Genomic DNA, 14,467 nt, shown 5'->3' with positions numbered 1-14,467 from the left:
CCTGCCATCCTCCCTTCCCCCAGCATCATCTAAGGTCACCCTTCCTTCTGGGCTGAAATGGGTCGGGGGTGCCCAGCTTGGACAAGGCCTGAATCGGGGGAACATCCCTTGCTTACCTTCATGCCCTTGGGTCCCGGGTAGCCAATCGGACCCAACACTCCTAAGTCACCCTGTGGGGAGAGAAAGAGAAGAGGGTGCTGTGAGCAGTGGCCCACAGGAGGCTGGCCTGGGTGGTGGGGACAATCCCCAAGGTCCCTGGGCCTGGGCTTCCAAAGACGCAACTCTGTAGGATTGATCTTGGAATCTGGAATGTTCTTCATCCAGAGACCTTCACTAAAGTGCTGGAATAAACTTCATAAAGATCCCTGCCCAAGCTCATTTCTAGACTGCTGCCCCTTCCCTATCCCCATTCCTTTCCATATTCAATATTTCTCTCCTATATCTGATTCTTTACCCCGTATCAGGGATAAAGGGCTTTTCATTTGACTATTTTGGACCCTCATGCTTTCTCTCTATCTGTCCCCCCGGAGCTGCTGTAAGAGTTAAATTCAGCATAAATGGAAGTTCTGACTCCTCTGGCTACATGAGGGGAGGCACCTCCTGCTTCCCAGAGGCTTGGCTCTCTCTGAGGAGGGCAGCAAGTAAGGAGTGAGGCTGTTGATCCCAGAAATCCCAGGGTTGATGGTGGACCCTGTGGGACACTATAATCAGCTGGCAGATCCTGGACCACAGGTTGGAGACCCAGCTTCAGATCAGATCAGCCGGTCCAAGGTGAGAAAAATGGAGTTCCCGACCTAGAAAGCCAAGTTCTCTTTGCGGGTGTGCAGTTTGCAGATGACAGCTCAGCCTGGCTGAGTGCTGTCCCCATGACGCCCCTCCTGTCCTTTCCAAAGCCTTCCTTCCTCTGCAAGGAAGGCTCTGGGAAGCACTCAGCCAGGCTGAGCTGCCGTCTGCAAACTCCACACCGTCCCTCTGTCTCTCTCCCCAGGGGCATTCCACTGCACAGGCCCCGTGGCCCTTCCAGCAGGAGCCAGGCAGGAATGTGATTTTTCATTCCCTGTCCACCCAGTGGACAGCAGACCACTGGATCCCACTCTCCTCTGGGACTCACTCATTGTGTGAACTGGAGGAACTTGATGTCTCCATGCCTCGGTTTCTTCATGTGACAAGTGAGGACGTACAATACTGTGTACCTGCCAGCCTTGTTTCCAGGAGAAACTGATTTCACATGTAAATACTTAGCAATGTCTGGAGGCATTTTTAGTTGTCACAACTTAAGAGGTGCTATTGGCGTCTGGTAGGCAGAGGCCAGGGATGTGGCTGAGCATGCTGCAGTGCACAGAACAGCCCCCGCCACGAATAACCATCCAGCCCAAATGTCAGTAGTGCCAAGGTCCAGGAACCCTGGTACAGAGTGAAGAAGCGGCTGACTTTTCTCTTAACCAGCCTACGCTTTCTCCCTCAAATCTCACTTCTGCCCACTCCATCACTCCCTCAGCCACAACCATAACATTAAGTCTGCACTCAGAGAAAGGGAGACCCTGAAAATACCCTCCTCTCTCCCTTGTCCATCCTCCATGACTGATCTGAGTGTCTGGCTGCTGTGTGGTTTCAATGTGCCCAACCTCTCTGGGCCTCTGTTTCCTGCTACCCGATCAGGCTCTACAGAGGCCCCTGGCAAGTGCTCTGAGGTGGGGGCACAGCTCTGAAGCATTGGAGGAACAAAGGCTGCCCCAGTAGCCAGGCTCAAGAATGGGAACTGGAGTTCTTGTCGGAGCTGCCTGGAGACGTCTCGGAGGGAGGCCAGGCAGAGAATGAAAAATCACATTCCTCCCTGGCTCCTGGAGGAAGGGCCAAGGGGACTATGTGATGGAATGCCCCCGAGGAGAGAGAGAGACAGACAGACAGACGGCATGGAGTTTGCAGATGGCAGCTCAGCCTGCCTGAGATGATGCCGATTCTCACTCTCCCAACCCCAGAACAACTGGAGTCTGGCCTTGGCCCATCCTGACCTGTGTGATCTTGGGCAAATGCTTCCCCTTTCTGGACTTTAGGATTCCCATCTGATTGGATTAAACAAAACCTCCCAGCTGAGCCTTTGCTAAGAAATTCTGCTTTCAGGCCCAGCGTGGCGCCATGGCTCATGCCTATAATCCCAGCACTTTGGGAAGCCTAAGTAGGAGGATTGCTTGAGGCCAGGAGTTCAAGACCAGCCTGGGCAACATAGGGAGACTCAATCTCTACAGAAAATATTTAAAAATTAGCTGGACATGGTGATGCATGCCTGTGGTACCAGCTACTCGGGAGGCTGAAGCAGGTGGATCCCTTGAGCCCAGGAGTTCAAGGTTACAGTGAGCTGTGATAGCGTCATTGAACTCCAGCCTGGGCGACAGAAAGAGACCCTATCTTTGAAAAAAAAAGAGAGAGAAAGAAATTCTGCTTTCAGGTCCCATCAAACAGTCTCACTGAGAAAGTGAGGGCTCAGTTTAACGGGTGATAATAATAAGCAAATGCCAGTTGCCAGCACTGTGCTAAGCACTTGACGTGCTTTAACCCAGTAATTCCTCACCACAGCCCATGAAGATCAGTCTACTACTGTCCCCATTTCATAGATGAGGAAACTGAGGCTCTGAGAGGTTAGGGCTCCAGCGATATCACGGAGTCGGGGCACCGCTGGGATTCACACTAGGCAGCCTGTCTCCAGAGCTTCTAGGCCATTCTGAGGTGGTCTCTGGAGAGGAGGGAGAGAAGCCGGATTGGAAGGGAGGCCAGCTCTCTGCAGAGAGCTGCATGTCCACAGGCCCCTCTGGCTGCTGCTTCTCTCCTTTCCTGGACGAAGGCAGCCAGGGTGGCCCGCCCAGAGTTCCCCCTGATGCACAAATAAACAGAGGCGGGCTCTGCTGGAGGAGTCTTTCTCTGCCGGGGGCCAGGCAGGGCGGCAGGCAGAGGGGCCGCCAGCAGCTCAGAAACACAGGCTCTTTCTTCCTCCCTCCAGGCCTGAAGTGGCTTGTTGTGTGGGACTGAATTCAGTGCAGGCAGGATGGTCACCTTTGTGGGGCCTCGGGGAGTCACGGCGCAGCACCCCACTCCCCAGGTCCCACTCGCTGCCTCAGCAGGGCTCTCCAAAGGGGTCTGTGTGTGGTGGGGGCAGGGACCTGCCATGGGCATCCCATGGGCATGGGCAACCCCAGGGGAGAAGGAATCTGGAAGAGAGACCCCTGCCTGCAGGCCACACCCGGAGAAGGTGCCAGCTCGCATAGGACAGGTCCCCCTGTGTTGGTGGGACCCCCACATTGGGCTACAAAAGCATTTCCGGGAGGAACAAAGAAAACTCCAGGCCAGCATCCCCCGAGGGCAGCTTGCAGAGCAGCCGTCTACTGTGTACCAGACGCCCTCGAGGCCAGCTTGGCCGGAGCCACTCAGAATGTCATGTCCCCATGAAAAAGAATAATGAGTAAGTCCCTTAATTTGGAACCTGTTTCCACTTTTCTCTAAGCTCCCAGACACCGCACCACACGCTGTGCCCTTCGTCTCACTGACTCCCACCAAGAACACAATCGGTCCTGTCTGTCACCATTTAAAGAACGCCCACTGTGTGCCAGATGCACGCTATCCACTTTGAACCCTCCTTAGCAATAGCTAAATGTCACTCTGGGCACCTTTGCCATGCCAGGGACGATGCTGGTGGCTTGGACCCTCACCAGCTGCTCACAGTAACCCCAGGAGGTAAGCACCATTGTCAGTCCCACTCCCTTTTACAGATGGGAAAACTGAGGCTTAGGGACAGGTGATGTAACCTGCCTGAGATCGAGCAATAAACAGGGGGCAGAGGCAGGACCAGAACCCAGGTCTGTCCATCCATCTGTCTGTCTGTCTGACCCCACAGTCCATGCTCACAAGGCCTGAGTTGGCTGTTGACCAAAAAAAAAAAAAAAAACACTCAAGGTTGCCTTTCCTATTGCTATGTCTCACATGAGACAGGGCATCAGGTCAGGTTGGAGACTCAGAAAAATTGAGTTGTGCTCCCCTGACTGCCAGCCAGTGGACCTCCGGAGGCTAATGTGGGGAACGGCTGGTGCCCATCCTTCATGATGGTTGCTCACACATCTCACCTTCCTGCCCTGCTCTTCCTCCTTAGCTGTGACATACTTAGCCACTGACATATCTCCCCGACCCTGGCTCAAGCTGTTTCCTATACCCGGAGTGCCATGCCCGCCACTGGCATTGTTAATGCCCATTTGTCCTTCGGCCTCCAGCACTAACATCACTTCCCTGACCCCAAGACCAGGTCATGCCCCTGCTGTCAGGCCTCAGAGCCCCATGCCTCTCGCTCAGGGCCCTTCTGACACTGACCATCCTTTCTGCGTGTGCCTATGGGGCCACCACCTGTGCTGCCCCCAGACCAAAGGCAGGTGCCTGCTCTGAGGACCTCACCTCTGTGATCCCAGTGCCTAGCACAGGGCACAGCTCTGAGGAGGTGCTTGGTAAAAGTGGCTTAATGATGGTGAAAAAGAAAGCTAAACACGCTCACTTATAATCCCTCTGAGGACTGCCTTTGAAGGCCAACAATGCCAGGCGGGTTCGGGACAGGGACCTGGAGCTGTGGTCAGTTCTGGCTGCTGTGTGGTCTTACTAAGCACCATCTGTCACACCAGAACAGCCCTGGCACTGCCCAGTCCATGCTGTCACATACACGCTATCTCTGTTCAGCACAGAAGTCTTGAGGAGCTGGGGATATAGTACAACAGTGGAGAGTGTGAGCTGTGACAGGCCAGGTCCAGCTGATTGGCTGTGTGACCTTGGGCAGGTGCTTCACCCTCTCTGAGGCTCAGTTTCCTTAAGTGTAAATTGGTGGCCCCACTTCCTACCCTCAGAGGGCTGTTGTGACAACTAAAAACTTGGCACAGCGTTGGGCACAAGAGGGTTTGGTGCATGCCAGGTGGTGGGGTATCTAACTTTGCTTTACAGACAAGGAAACAAAGGCAGGTGATCATTTAGTGGCAGAATAAGGTGGACAAATCCATTGCCCCTCACATGCTGGGTTTGTGGCCAGATCACATGTTCTTTGGGTCTCATTAAATTGTGGAGGAGCCAAAATTTCCTCTGTGTCACTCTGAATAAAAAGGACAGAAATCGTCTTTGTTGAGCAGATTCTGGAATCAGGCACAGTTTTCTTGAGGGCCTGCCAAAGGGTTTCAGTTACTCAAAGAGGGCTGTGTGGAGGCCCTCTCACCTCTGAGGCTGCAGGGAGCCACCGGTGGCTCACTGGAATTGAGGCATATGGACCCAGGTGACAAGCCCGACACTTCCACTCTCTAACTGGTGACCTCGGCTTCGCAAGGCCTCCCCAGCCCAGTGCATGTGTTGCACACATAGCAGACAGACGCTCAATAAATGTTAGTTTGTCCTCTCACGCCCTTCCTCCCGGCTGCAGGGACCCGGGGGACGGAAGGAAGGTTTGGCTTCAGTCTGCATGCAAATTGCTTCAACTGACTAGACAGAGGCATTGAATAAATTTGAATTTCCACTAAAATGATTATCAATACATGGAATTCCCATTTGCTCAGCTAAAAACCCACATCCTCTGGAAAACCGTAGGTGACTCACAATCCCTCTTCCTCTTTAACTTCTGGTTAGAAAATTCCTTTCCTTTCCAGCTCTTTGGGGAGACAGTTTTTTTCCCCAGGCACAGAAGCTGCTGTTCCCAAAAATCCAGGGTGGAAGGAGGCATTTGCTCAGGGAGCAGAGGTGATTTGATGGGCTCAGGCCCAGCCCTGTGATCCCCCAGTTACAGGAGAGAGGACACTTCATCTTGGCAGTGAAAAGAATCTAAAAACTGAGGAAGGAGGCTGAAAGTGGCCAAAAAAAGACACAGCATGAAGGAACCACAAGGCAGAACAAATCAGCTCTGGGAAAAGGGGGTACCATGAAATGCAGAAAGTCCCAGGGCTCTGCCCCCAGTGCAGGCTGCTCAGAAGCAAAAAGAGGAGTGCCCTGGACTAGGACTTGAGATTCATGGCCCCCATCCTCACCTGCCAGGTATGTGACCTTGACCAAGGGCCTCAGTTTTCCCATTTGCCGAAAGGGTTTCTCCTAAGAGACACTGCAAATAGCGTTGCCAGACTGGACAATTAAAAAGACAGGATGCCCAGTTAAATTTGAATATCAGATAAACAATGAGTGACATTTTAGTATAAATGTGTTCTAAATATTGCATCTGACATTCAAATTTAACTAGGTGTCATATTTTATCTGGCAACCTTAACAGTGGAGTGCAGCGGAGAGCACAGGTAAGAATGACCTTTTAAAGAACCAGGAGGTACCAGCACTTTGGGAGGTCGAGGTGGGCAGATCGCTTGAGCCCAGGAGTTGGAGACCAGCCTGGGCAATGTGGCGAAATCCTGTCTCTACAAAAAGAAAATACTAAAATTAGCTGGGCATCATGGTACACACCTGTTGTCCCAGCTACTTGGGAGGCTGAGGTGGGAGGATCACTTGAGCCCAAGAGGCAGAGGCTGCAGTGAGCCAAGACTGCACCACTGAACTCCAGCCTGGAAGACACAGTGAGACCCTGTCTCAAAAAAAAAAAAAAAAAAAAAAGAACCAGGAGGGCTATGATGCTATAGTCCAAAACCCCACAATCTGTGTTTATTCCACTAAGCAATATTCTTGCTCCTCTCAGGACCCAACCTAGTGAACGCTGGGATGATGACAAATAGGAACATGTGCCAAGGATGACAGACAGGATATGTAAACATCCCTTCAGAAAGGCTTTGGGATGGGAATTGTTTAGCCTGAAGAAGGAGCCCTGGGAAGCACAGACAAAGACCATTTTACACCTCAAACAGCCTCACTCAGGGACAGTGAGGACGACTCGGGCTCCATCCACAGGAAAACTCCAAACAAAGAGAGCTCTGTAGAATGGACTAGGCTCCCACAGAGGGAGGGACTTTTTGCACTGGAGGTGTTCAATTTGGAGTTTAATCACCATATGACCAAGATGCTCCAGAAGGGATTCCTGTTGGGCTTAGAGAGGGTCAGATTAGAAGACTTCTAGAGAGTTCTCGAATTCCCATGGCAGATATTTCTTTTTCCAAAGCATTTAGGTCAATGCCTTGTGCCAAAGAAGGTGCTCAGCAAAGTCCTACTGAATGGACATCAGGGATGACAAATTTATGACTCATGTGTTGACACTTCCTCAACCCCAGCCAAGGCAGACATCACTTATCAATTGCAGCACTCTCTCCCACCAAGTTCCAATGTGACTGTGAAATTTTTGTCAATTCAGTAACCCGGATAGCTGCTACCAGGTGTAAAATATCACGTGTGTGTAATATAATAACACCAACAATAGCTATTATTATCATAACTAGTACTTCTTGAGTGCTTACTACATACTAGGCACTTCACATATTAATTTATCTACATCCTCACTCACAACAATCCTCCAAGTTAGGTACCACTATTGTTCCCATTTTACAGATGAAGAAACCGAGGCATAGGGTGGTTAAAAATTTTGCTCAGGATTGTGATTACATGAGTGGTAGAGCTAGGATTTGAACCTAGGTGGTCTGGTTCCAGAAACTGTTCTCTTAGCCACTGGACTGGAATGGACTGTGTGTTTCTGTGGTTCTAATAAGAGTGGATACAATGATCCCATTTCACAGAGGGGATCCCTGAGGCTCAGGGAAGTGAGGCCAAGGTGAAGTTCAGTCAGGAGGTAGCAAAGTCAGGATTCAGACACAGAGAGCTCTCACCTCCTGCCCACCCCACCCAGGTTCTGCTCCCACTCACCTGAGCAGGCACAGATGGCCACGGGGACATCTGGGCCTTCTTCCCAGGACTGGCCTTCCCTGAGCGATGGGGTTCCCTGCCTCCCTCAGGGACCTCCTCCAGCCTCCCTCTGAGCAGAATTTCTCAGTACAGTTGCTGGAGTGGTAAAGCTGGAAGCTCATTTGTCAAGCTAGCAGATAGTTTACTTGTGTCCCTCCACGGGCCCCCAAACTCAAACCCCATGAGGAATGACCCAATGGACAGGGCGGAGGGGGCATCAGATTATGGGGACACTTGGAGTGTCATTTCCCAGGCTCTGACCTCTCACTGGCCCCTGCGGCTGGGCCCAAGGTTAACACTCATTCCACTGAAAGCGCAGCAGGGGCCCTGGCTTTGGCTAGAACCACTCCTCGAGGCCTACACCACCTGGATGGAGTCAGGTCAGATCGCCTCCCACCTCCTCGTGTATAGGCCTCTCTCAGTCCTGGGCATTTCAGGAGGTAATAACAAGAATTATTATAACAATATTTTCCACTAGCACTTACTGGGTGCCAGATCCTGTGCCAAGGACTACACATATGATGCCTCCTTTAATCCTCATGGCCACTCCAGGATGATTCTGCTATCACCTCTATTTCACAGATGAGGAAACTAGGCCCAGAGAAGGTAAGTGGCTTGGCCCAGGTCACACAGCCAGGATGTGGTGGGTCTGTGACTTGAACCTAGGTGGTCTGGCTCCAAAGTCTGCTTGGAGGAAAAGAGTGCAAAAGACCACCCTGCCAGCTACCTTCTCCCTCTGGACCTGGAACACCTCGCTTGTGAAATAAGTATGCCATCACCACTTGCCCACACCTCCTTGCAGAGCAACGGCCATGCACGCAGCAGGTGTGAAAGGGCTTTGGCAATCTTGTGTTCCAAGTGCTCATCTCATTTAACTAATAAGGAAACAGGCTCAGAGAAGGTGATCCACCTGAGGCCACACAGCAGGGCTCTCCTCCCTCAGCCGCCCGCCCTCCCCTACCCACCTTCCCCTACCCACCTTCCTCACCCAGGTTGGTCTCTCCTGGCCCCCCAGCCCCTCTGGGGGTTTGATGAGAGAAGGGTCTTTTCAACCTCCCCTGCAGGGCCTGCTCCTGGCTCCCCACACGCTGGCTCCACCCTGAGTCTCCTCAACACCCACCTGCTGCCCCAGGCATCAATGTACTTACAATGAGGCCGGGGACTCCAGGGGGGCCTGGCAGGCCCAGTTCTCCCTGCAGATAGAGAGAGACCAAGGTGGTTACTTGTCCCATCTCCCTCCAGGGCCCCTCCCTCCATGTCATCCTCCACACAGGCACCTGGTGGGGTCTTTCAGAGCTGAACACTCCTTATTCCTGACCACAGGCTCCAGCGACTTTCCTGAGCCTGGCCTGGAGTTTGGACCACAGCCATCCCCTCTCTGCCATCAGCTTTCCACATCTGTCAAATGGGGAGGTCGGACTTCCAAATCCAGTATCTTCCCATTGGAAGCATAAAGGAAGGAGCGGAATCGCGATCAAGGTCATACAGACGTGCATGGTGCTTGACATTTCACGCTCATTTTACAGACAGGAAAACTGAAGCTCCAGAGGTTAAGTGATTCACCCAAGGCCAGGTGCAAGGAAATGACAAAGCCATGAGGGCTCCAAGCTGAGAGCCTCTAAGCCAGCCTCCTTCCCTTTCTCAGCCGGGAGGTGCTGTGGCCCTTGGAGAATCCTCCCCAGCACCCCACACCCTCACATTTCCTTCTTCCAGGGGCCCCCAGAGACTGGAAAGAGTTCTAGCCTGGGAGTCAGGAGACGAGGCTGTGTGTGTGATTTATCCCCCTATACCTCAGTTTTCTCGTCTTAAACATGGATCTTCCATGGCCCACATGAGAAATGACAGGTGGAAGGGTTTGAGTCAAGTTCAAAATGGAAAAGTGAGAATAAAACTCCAGGGCTCTAGACATTGTAATTAGCAATGAGAAGTAAGCAACAGCCTTCACTTCAAATGAGAGGAAGAAATGGACATCAGGTCTTTTCTGTTCCTCTATGCCAGCAGCATAAAGACATCCCTGCCGCTCGCCAAGGAAACTCGCAGAATGATACTGCATATCGCTAATAGTTAATCTAACAAATGCTGTATTGAGGGAGAGGCTCTGGTTTCCCCTCACCCCATGCCTTTGCTGGTGCCCCTTCCTCCACCTGCAATGTCTCCCCACCTATCTCCTCATCCCAATGCAAATGTTACTTCCCTGTTCCCTTCTCCAAAGAGGCACCTGGGACCTCTCTGATCCCACCCATCCCACTGCCTGTTGTGTGACAGAGGAGGGCAATGGCCCATGAACTCCTCAAAGGCAGGACTATACCCCGGATTACCCAGTATTTTACACAGCCTCACCCACTGAACCTGTGTGATGAGGCAACACCTTGGCTGCCCTCCTGTCATTCTCACAACGGCTTCTTTTTTTTTTTTTTTTTTGAGACAGAGTCTCACTCTCTTGCCCAGGCTGGAGTGTAGTGGCGTGATCTTGGCTCACTGCAACCTCCACCTCCTGGGTTCAAGCAATTCTCCCCCATCAGCCTCCCAAGTACCTGGGATTACAGATGCCTGCCACCACGCCCAGCTAATTTTTTGTATTTTTAGTAGAGACGGGGTTTTGCCATGTTGGCCAGGGTGGTCTTGAACTCCTGGCCTCAAGTGATCTAGCCGCCTCGGCCTCCCAAAGTGCTGGGATTACAGACGTGAGCCACTGCGCCCGGCCTCAGGCTGGAATTCTGATCCCCCCAATTTGCAGACAAGGAAACTGAGATTCAGGGAGGTGAATGGATTTTTCCAAGCTCACACACCTGACAAGTGGTACAACAAAATTCAAACCCAGGTCCGCAGGGTTCTGAGGTCAAGGCTATAATCCCCAAGGGAGCCTGGCTGGGTCAGGCTCAGGGAGCATTTGTGGAACTGAATTAGCGCCTAATCGGGTGCTGGTTATGAACGCAGCAGCCACCACTGCAGAGGGCACAGCTGGCACAGCTGCTCAGGCAGGAAGCCCCAGGGGGAGATGGGGAACCATGAACACCTTCTCCCACCAGGGCCTGGAGCTGGGAAGGGAAAGACAGACTCGGCTCCCCAGGGCAGGCTGACCTGGCTCCTCGGGGAACAGAGCCTGGGCCTCTAATTATTTACAAACTCTATAAACATGCCTGTGGTGGAGATTCCTTTGGAACTCAGCTCTTCCTTTTCTCCAAACACGGCCTGCAGACCGTTTGCTTCCCCATGCCTCTGCCGGCCCATAAACATTGCTGATGCTGTGTAAGATGGCAGCAGCTGGGGCCTCTCCAGTGGGGAGTGACCCATGAACCTTCCAAAGTCCTGGAAATGGGGTGCAGCCTGGAGCTTTGGACCCAGGGGCTCAGTGGGCTGGGGACTCTTACAGGGGGGCGACGGTGCAGCCGCAGTAGACAGGAGCCTAGCGTTTAGAGACGTCATGTAATTTGTCCAAGGGTGCCCAGCTGGTACTTCACAGGGCTGGGATTTGACCCAGGTCTGTCTGACCCTAAAGCGTGGGCTCCTAAAATCTGCTGTGTGTTCACTCAGAATCTCGCTCCTGTTCCCAAAGACTTGAAATACTCACAGGATTTCCATCCAGTCCAGGAGGGCCTCTTTCCCCAAAGACTCCAGGAAACCCCTGGAGGGCATGAGAGAGAACAAACATCTGTAGGTTAGTGTTGTCACCTTCAGGGTGGGCTTTGATCCAGACCCCCAGGGGGGACACAAGGACAATGTCCAAGCAGTCTCACTCCTTGGTCATGGGCAGACAGTGCGGTCCTGAGGTCACCCCTACCATCGACAAGCACCTGAACATAAAGAATTTCTCAGGGATCCTTTTATTTTCTACTAAGTCTCTGAAAAGAAAATGATACCCAGCTCCCCAGCATGAAAATGCCAATCCCCTATTCTGAGATCTGGTCCTGATGGAATGGGAAAGACAGAGACTAGGGGCAGGAAGCTGGATCTATGCCAGTTTTAAGAGCCTCTGTTTCCCCACTGGTCAAGGAGGAGAAGGCCTCTGTTGCATTTCCCAGCTCAGACCTTCTCTGATTGTGGCACGTTCTTCAAAAGCCACCCAGTGAACTCATGATCCCCATTTGACAGATAAAGGAAACGAGGCTGTGAAAGAGTGAAGTGGCAAGGTCACACAAAGTCACACCACCAGTGAACATGAGCACAGCCTCCATAGGTGTTCAGCAGCTCAGAGAGATGCTGAGCTGCCCGGCCCAGGCAGGTCTGGCCCTCTCGCCCCATCCCTGACCCCACTCTGGAGGCCGCTCCACGCTCTGGGGAGATAGGCAGCTGGAAAAATATCAGCTGTAAGGACGCCTTCGGGGGCCGGGGACAGAACTCCATTCCTACTTCAAAAGGAAAAGAAAGTCCTCAAGCTTGGAGTTGGGGGAAACCTGTTCTCCTCCCCTCCTTGAATTCAAATCATTGTTTTTCCAGGGAAATGTAATTAAAAAAAAAAAAAAACAAAGCACATGTTTTCCTGACCAAGTGAATGCTGGGGCTATGATTCAAATGGTAAACATTCCTCATGGAGGATGATCCTGTTTTCGGTTTCTAATACTACTGGAGGAGTCCAGTGAGTACACTAAACCCAAAAGACCAAACCTACAAACAAAACCCAAACCAAAGTCTCTACTGGTTAGGCAAAGACACCTTGAAATGTGTGTATGTAACCAGGTGTTTAGCCTGGCCCTGCCCCGCAGCCCTACTCCCTTTAAATCTCTCCCCTGCCAGGAAGTCCTCTTGGATTGACATTCACCCCATAGAAGGTGTGGCTTCATTCAGACACCAAAAGGAGGAAACGAGAAGACGATAATGAAATTCAGACCAAGGTAGTCACTTTGCATGCAAGACTTCATTTTGCATTTGATATCTATCTTTGAGGGAAAAGTTATCAGTCCCATTTCACAGATGGGAAAATTGAGACTCGGTTAGGCAACATCACATGGCCAAGGTCATAAAGCAAGCAGAGCCCAGGTCCACCTCTGGAGTTTGGCATGTTCATATGAGCTATGCACGGGCAAAGCCTGGTATGTAGAAGCTGCTCAAACGCGTGTCCAACTGGTTGCAGAGGGTGGCAGAGGAGTGTGGCAGGGGAGGGTGTGTGTGTGTTTCCAGATCATGTCTTTGTGGGGGCATATCTGACCTTACCCAAGCTTCCTCCCCCACATCTTTAGGGTCTCCCCTGGTAAATTCCAGTCTCACCTAAACCAGCTCTTCTTGGTCATGCTGAAGGTAGATCGTCTCACCTCCTGGGACAAGAATCAGCCAGGTGGGCTGTGTCCAGGGGATCCTTCTTTTTTTTTCATGATACAGGGTCTCACTCTGTCATCCAGGCTGAAGTGCAGTGGTGTGATAACTGCTCACTGCAACCTCTGCCTCCTAGTGATCCTGCCGCCTCAGCCTCCCAAGTAGCTGGGATTACAGATGCACACCACTACACCTGGCTAATTTTTGTATTTTTGGTAAAGATGGGGTTTCTCCATGTTGCCCAAGCTGGTCTCGAACTCCTGGGCTCAAGCGATCTGCCTGCCTTGGCCTCCCAAAGTGTTGGGATTACAGGTGTGAGCCATGGCGTCCAGCCAGGGCACCTTCTGAAGGCATTGAGTTCCCACCTCTGGCCTCTGAACTTTGGGGTAGAAGGACCTGGTAGGAGAGGAAAGCAACTCCTTGAGACAAGGGCAATGTTGTCTGGCTGGGCACCTGGCTGACTCCACATGGCCTACAAGGGACAGAACTTGTAGTCCTGCCCTGTTCTCCAAGTCCAGCATATGGAGATGGCCTGCAGATGAGCCCTGGCTCTCCTCTAGGCTGGCTGTCTGACCTTGGGCAGGCCCCCACACTTGACCCTCTGTCCTGCTCAGGTTGGAGGTGTGTGATCTCTAAGGATCCTTTAGGACCCTGTGATGCCCAATATATTCACATACAGCAGCTGCCAGGCAGGTCTCAGACCCATGGGTCTGCATTCAGAGGCCATTCCAGGCTGGCCAGCCTGCCCCAAGACAGTCCTGACTGCACCACCCACAGGCCTCTTGGGGCCTCAGTTCTCTTTGCCATCCAAAAGGGAGTGCTGTGAGGATGAGCTGAGATGCCACATGAAGGGTGCCTCAGTGAGGGTGCCTCACTGCCACATGGGAGGCCTCAGCCATGTGAGGGAATGTCTCTGAGGTATAAGCAAGGGAGAGACGGTCATCAGAATTTTGAGTCAGTTTCTGGAGGGGAGTAACCTCTGCAGACAAAATGCAGCCTGAGTCTAGCCAGAGGGCGATGATGGTGGGATGAAACAATCATAGCAACAGTAAACCCCAACAGCGTGACCACCCAACAGGTCCTATTATTGGCTGCATTTTTGAGATGAGGAAACTGTGATTCTGAAAGGCTAGGAAATGTTTCCAAAGTCACACAGCCCTGGCATAGCAGAGATGAGATTCGAACCTAGGCAGTGTGACTCCAGAAGCTGTTCTCTTAGCTACAACTGGACACTGAATGAACAGATGAACTAGAACCAGCCTACAGGCTCTCCGAGGGCTCATTAGAGCCCTGAGCTAATGTGCAAAAAGGAATGGCATGATTGATGCTGAGGACTGGTTCTGCTTGGACACGCTGAGGGCCTCCGGGAGTCAACCCCTGTCTC

General features: G+C 52.1%; 1 protein-coding gene across 15 annotated transcripts in view, besides 2 other annotated features; it reads right to left on the bottom strand.

Annotated features, from left to right (window-relative positions):
• Nucleotides 1–14,467, bottom strand: part of COL27A1 (collagen type XXVII alpha 1 chain) — a 158,414-nt gene that overhangs the window by 81,263 nt on the left and 62,684 nt on the right. For 14 of the 15 annotated variants that reach the window (XR_929860.4, XM_011519138.3, XM_047423992.1 and 11 more), the window contains 3 exons: nucleotides 11,405–11,458; nucleotides 8,982–9,026; nucleotides 117–170 (listed from right to left, as the gene is read on the bottom strand). Coding sequence is in view for 14 of the 15 variants with exons in the window: in XM_011519138.3 (XP_011517440.1) it covers nucleotides 117–170; nucleotides 8,982–9,026; nucleotides 11,405–11,458 (153 nt within the window). In the remaining variant the exon portion in view is untranslated. Of the gene's footprint in view, nucleotides 1–116; nucleotides 171–8,318; nucleotides 8,433–8,981; nucleotides 9,027–11,404; nucleotides 11,459–14,467 lie in introns of those variants that run through there. The other variant, XM_011519145.4, reaches the window with a different exon arrangement.
• Nucleotides 6,597–7,149: an enhancer, noted in NCBI's record as "NANOG hESC enhancer chr9:116986380-116986932 (GRCh37/hg19 assembly coordinates)". NCBI's record gives its function as "activates a minimal SCP1, AML or CMV promoter by ChIP-STARR-seq in primed H9 embryonic stem cells {active_cell/tissue: H9 hESC(primed)}" and the evidence as "EXISTENCE:reporter gene assay evidence [ECO:0000049][PMID:30033119]".
• Nucleotides 11,547–12,545: an enhancer, noted in NCBI's record as "H3K4me1 hESC enhancer chr9:116980984-116981982 (GRCh37/hg19 assembly coordinates)". NCBI's record gives its function as "activates a minimal SCP1, AML or CMV promoter by ChIP-STARR-seq in primed H9 embryonic stem cells {active_cell/tissue: H9 hESC(primed)}" and the evidence as "EXISTENCE:reporter gene assay evidence [ECO:0000049][PMID:30033119]".

The sequence above is a fragment of the Homo sapiens genome, chromosome 9 (assembly GCF_000001405.40).
Source record: "Homo sapiens chromosome 9, GRCh38.p14 Primary Assembly".
NCBI lineage: Eukaryota > Metazoa > Chordata > Mammalia > Primates > Hominidae > Homo > Homo sapiens.
This window is presented reverse-complemented; position numbering and strand designations above follow the sequence as displayed.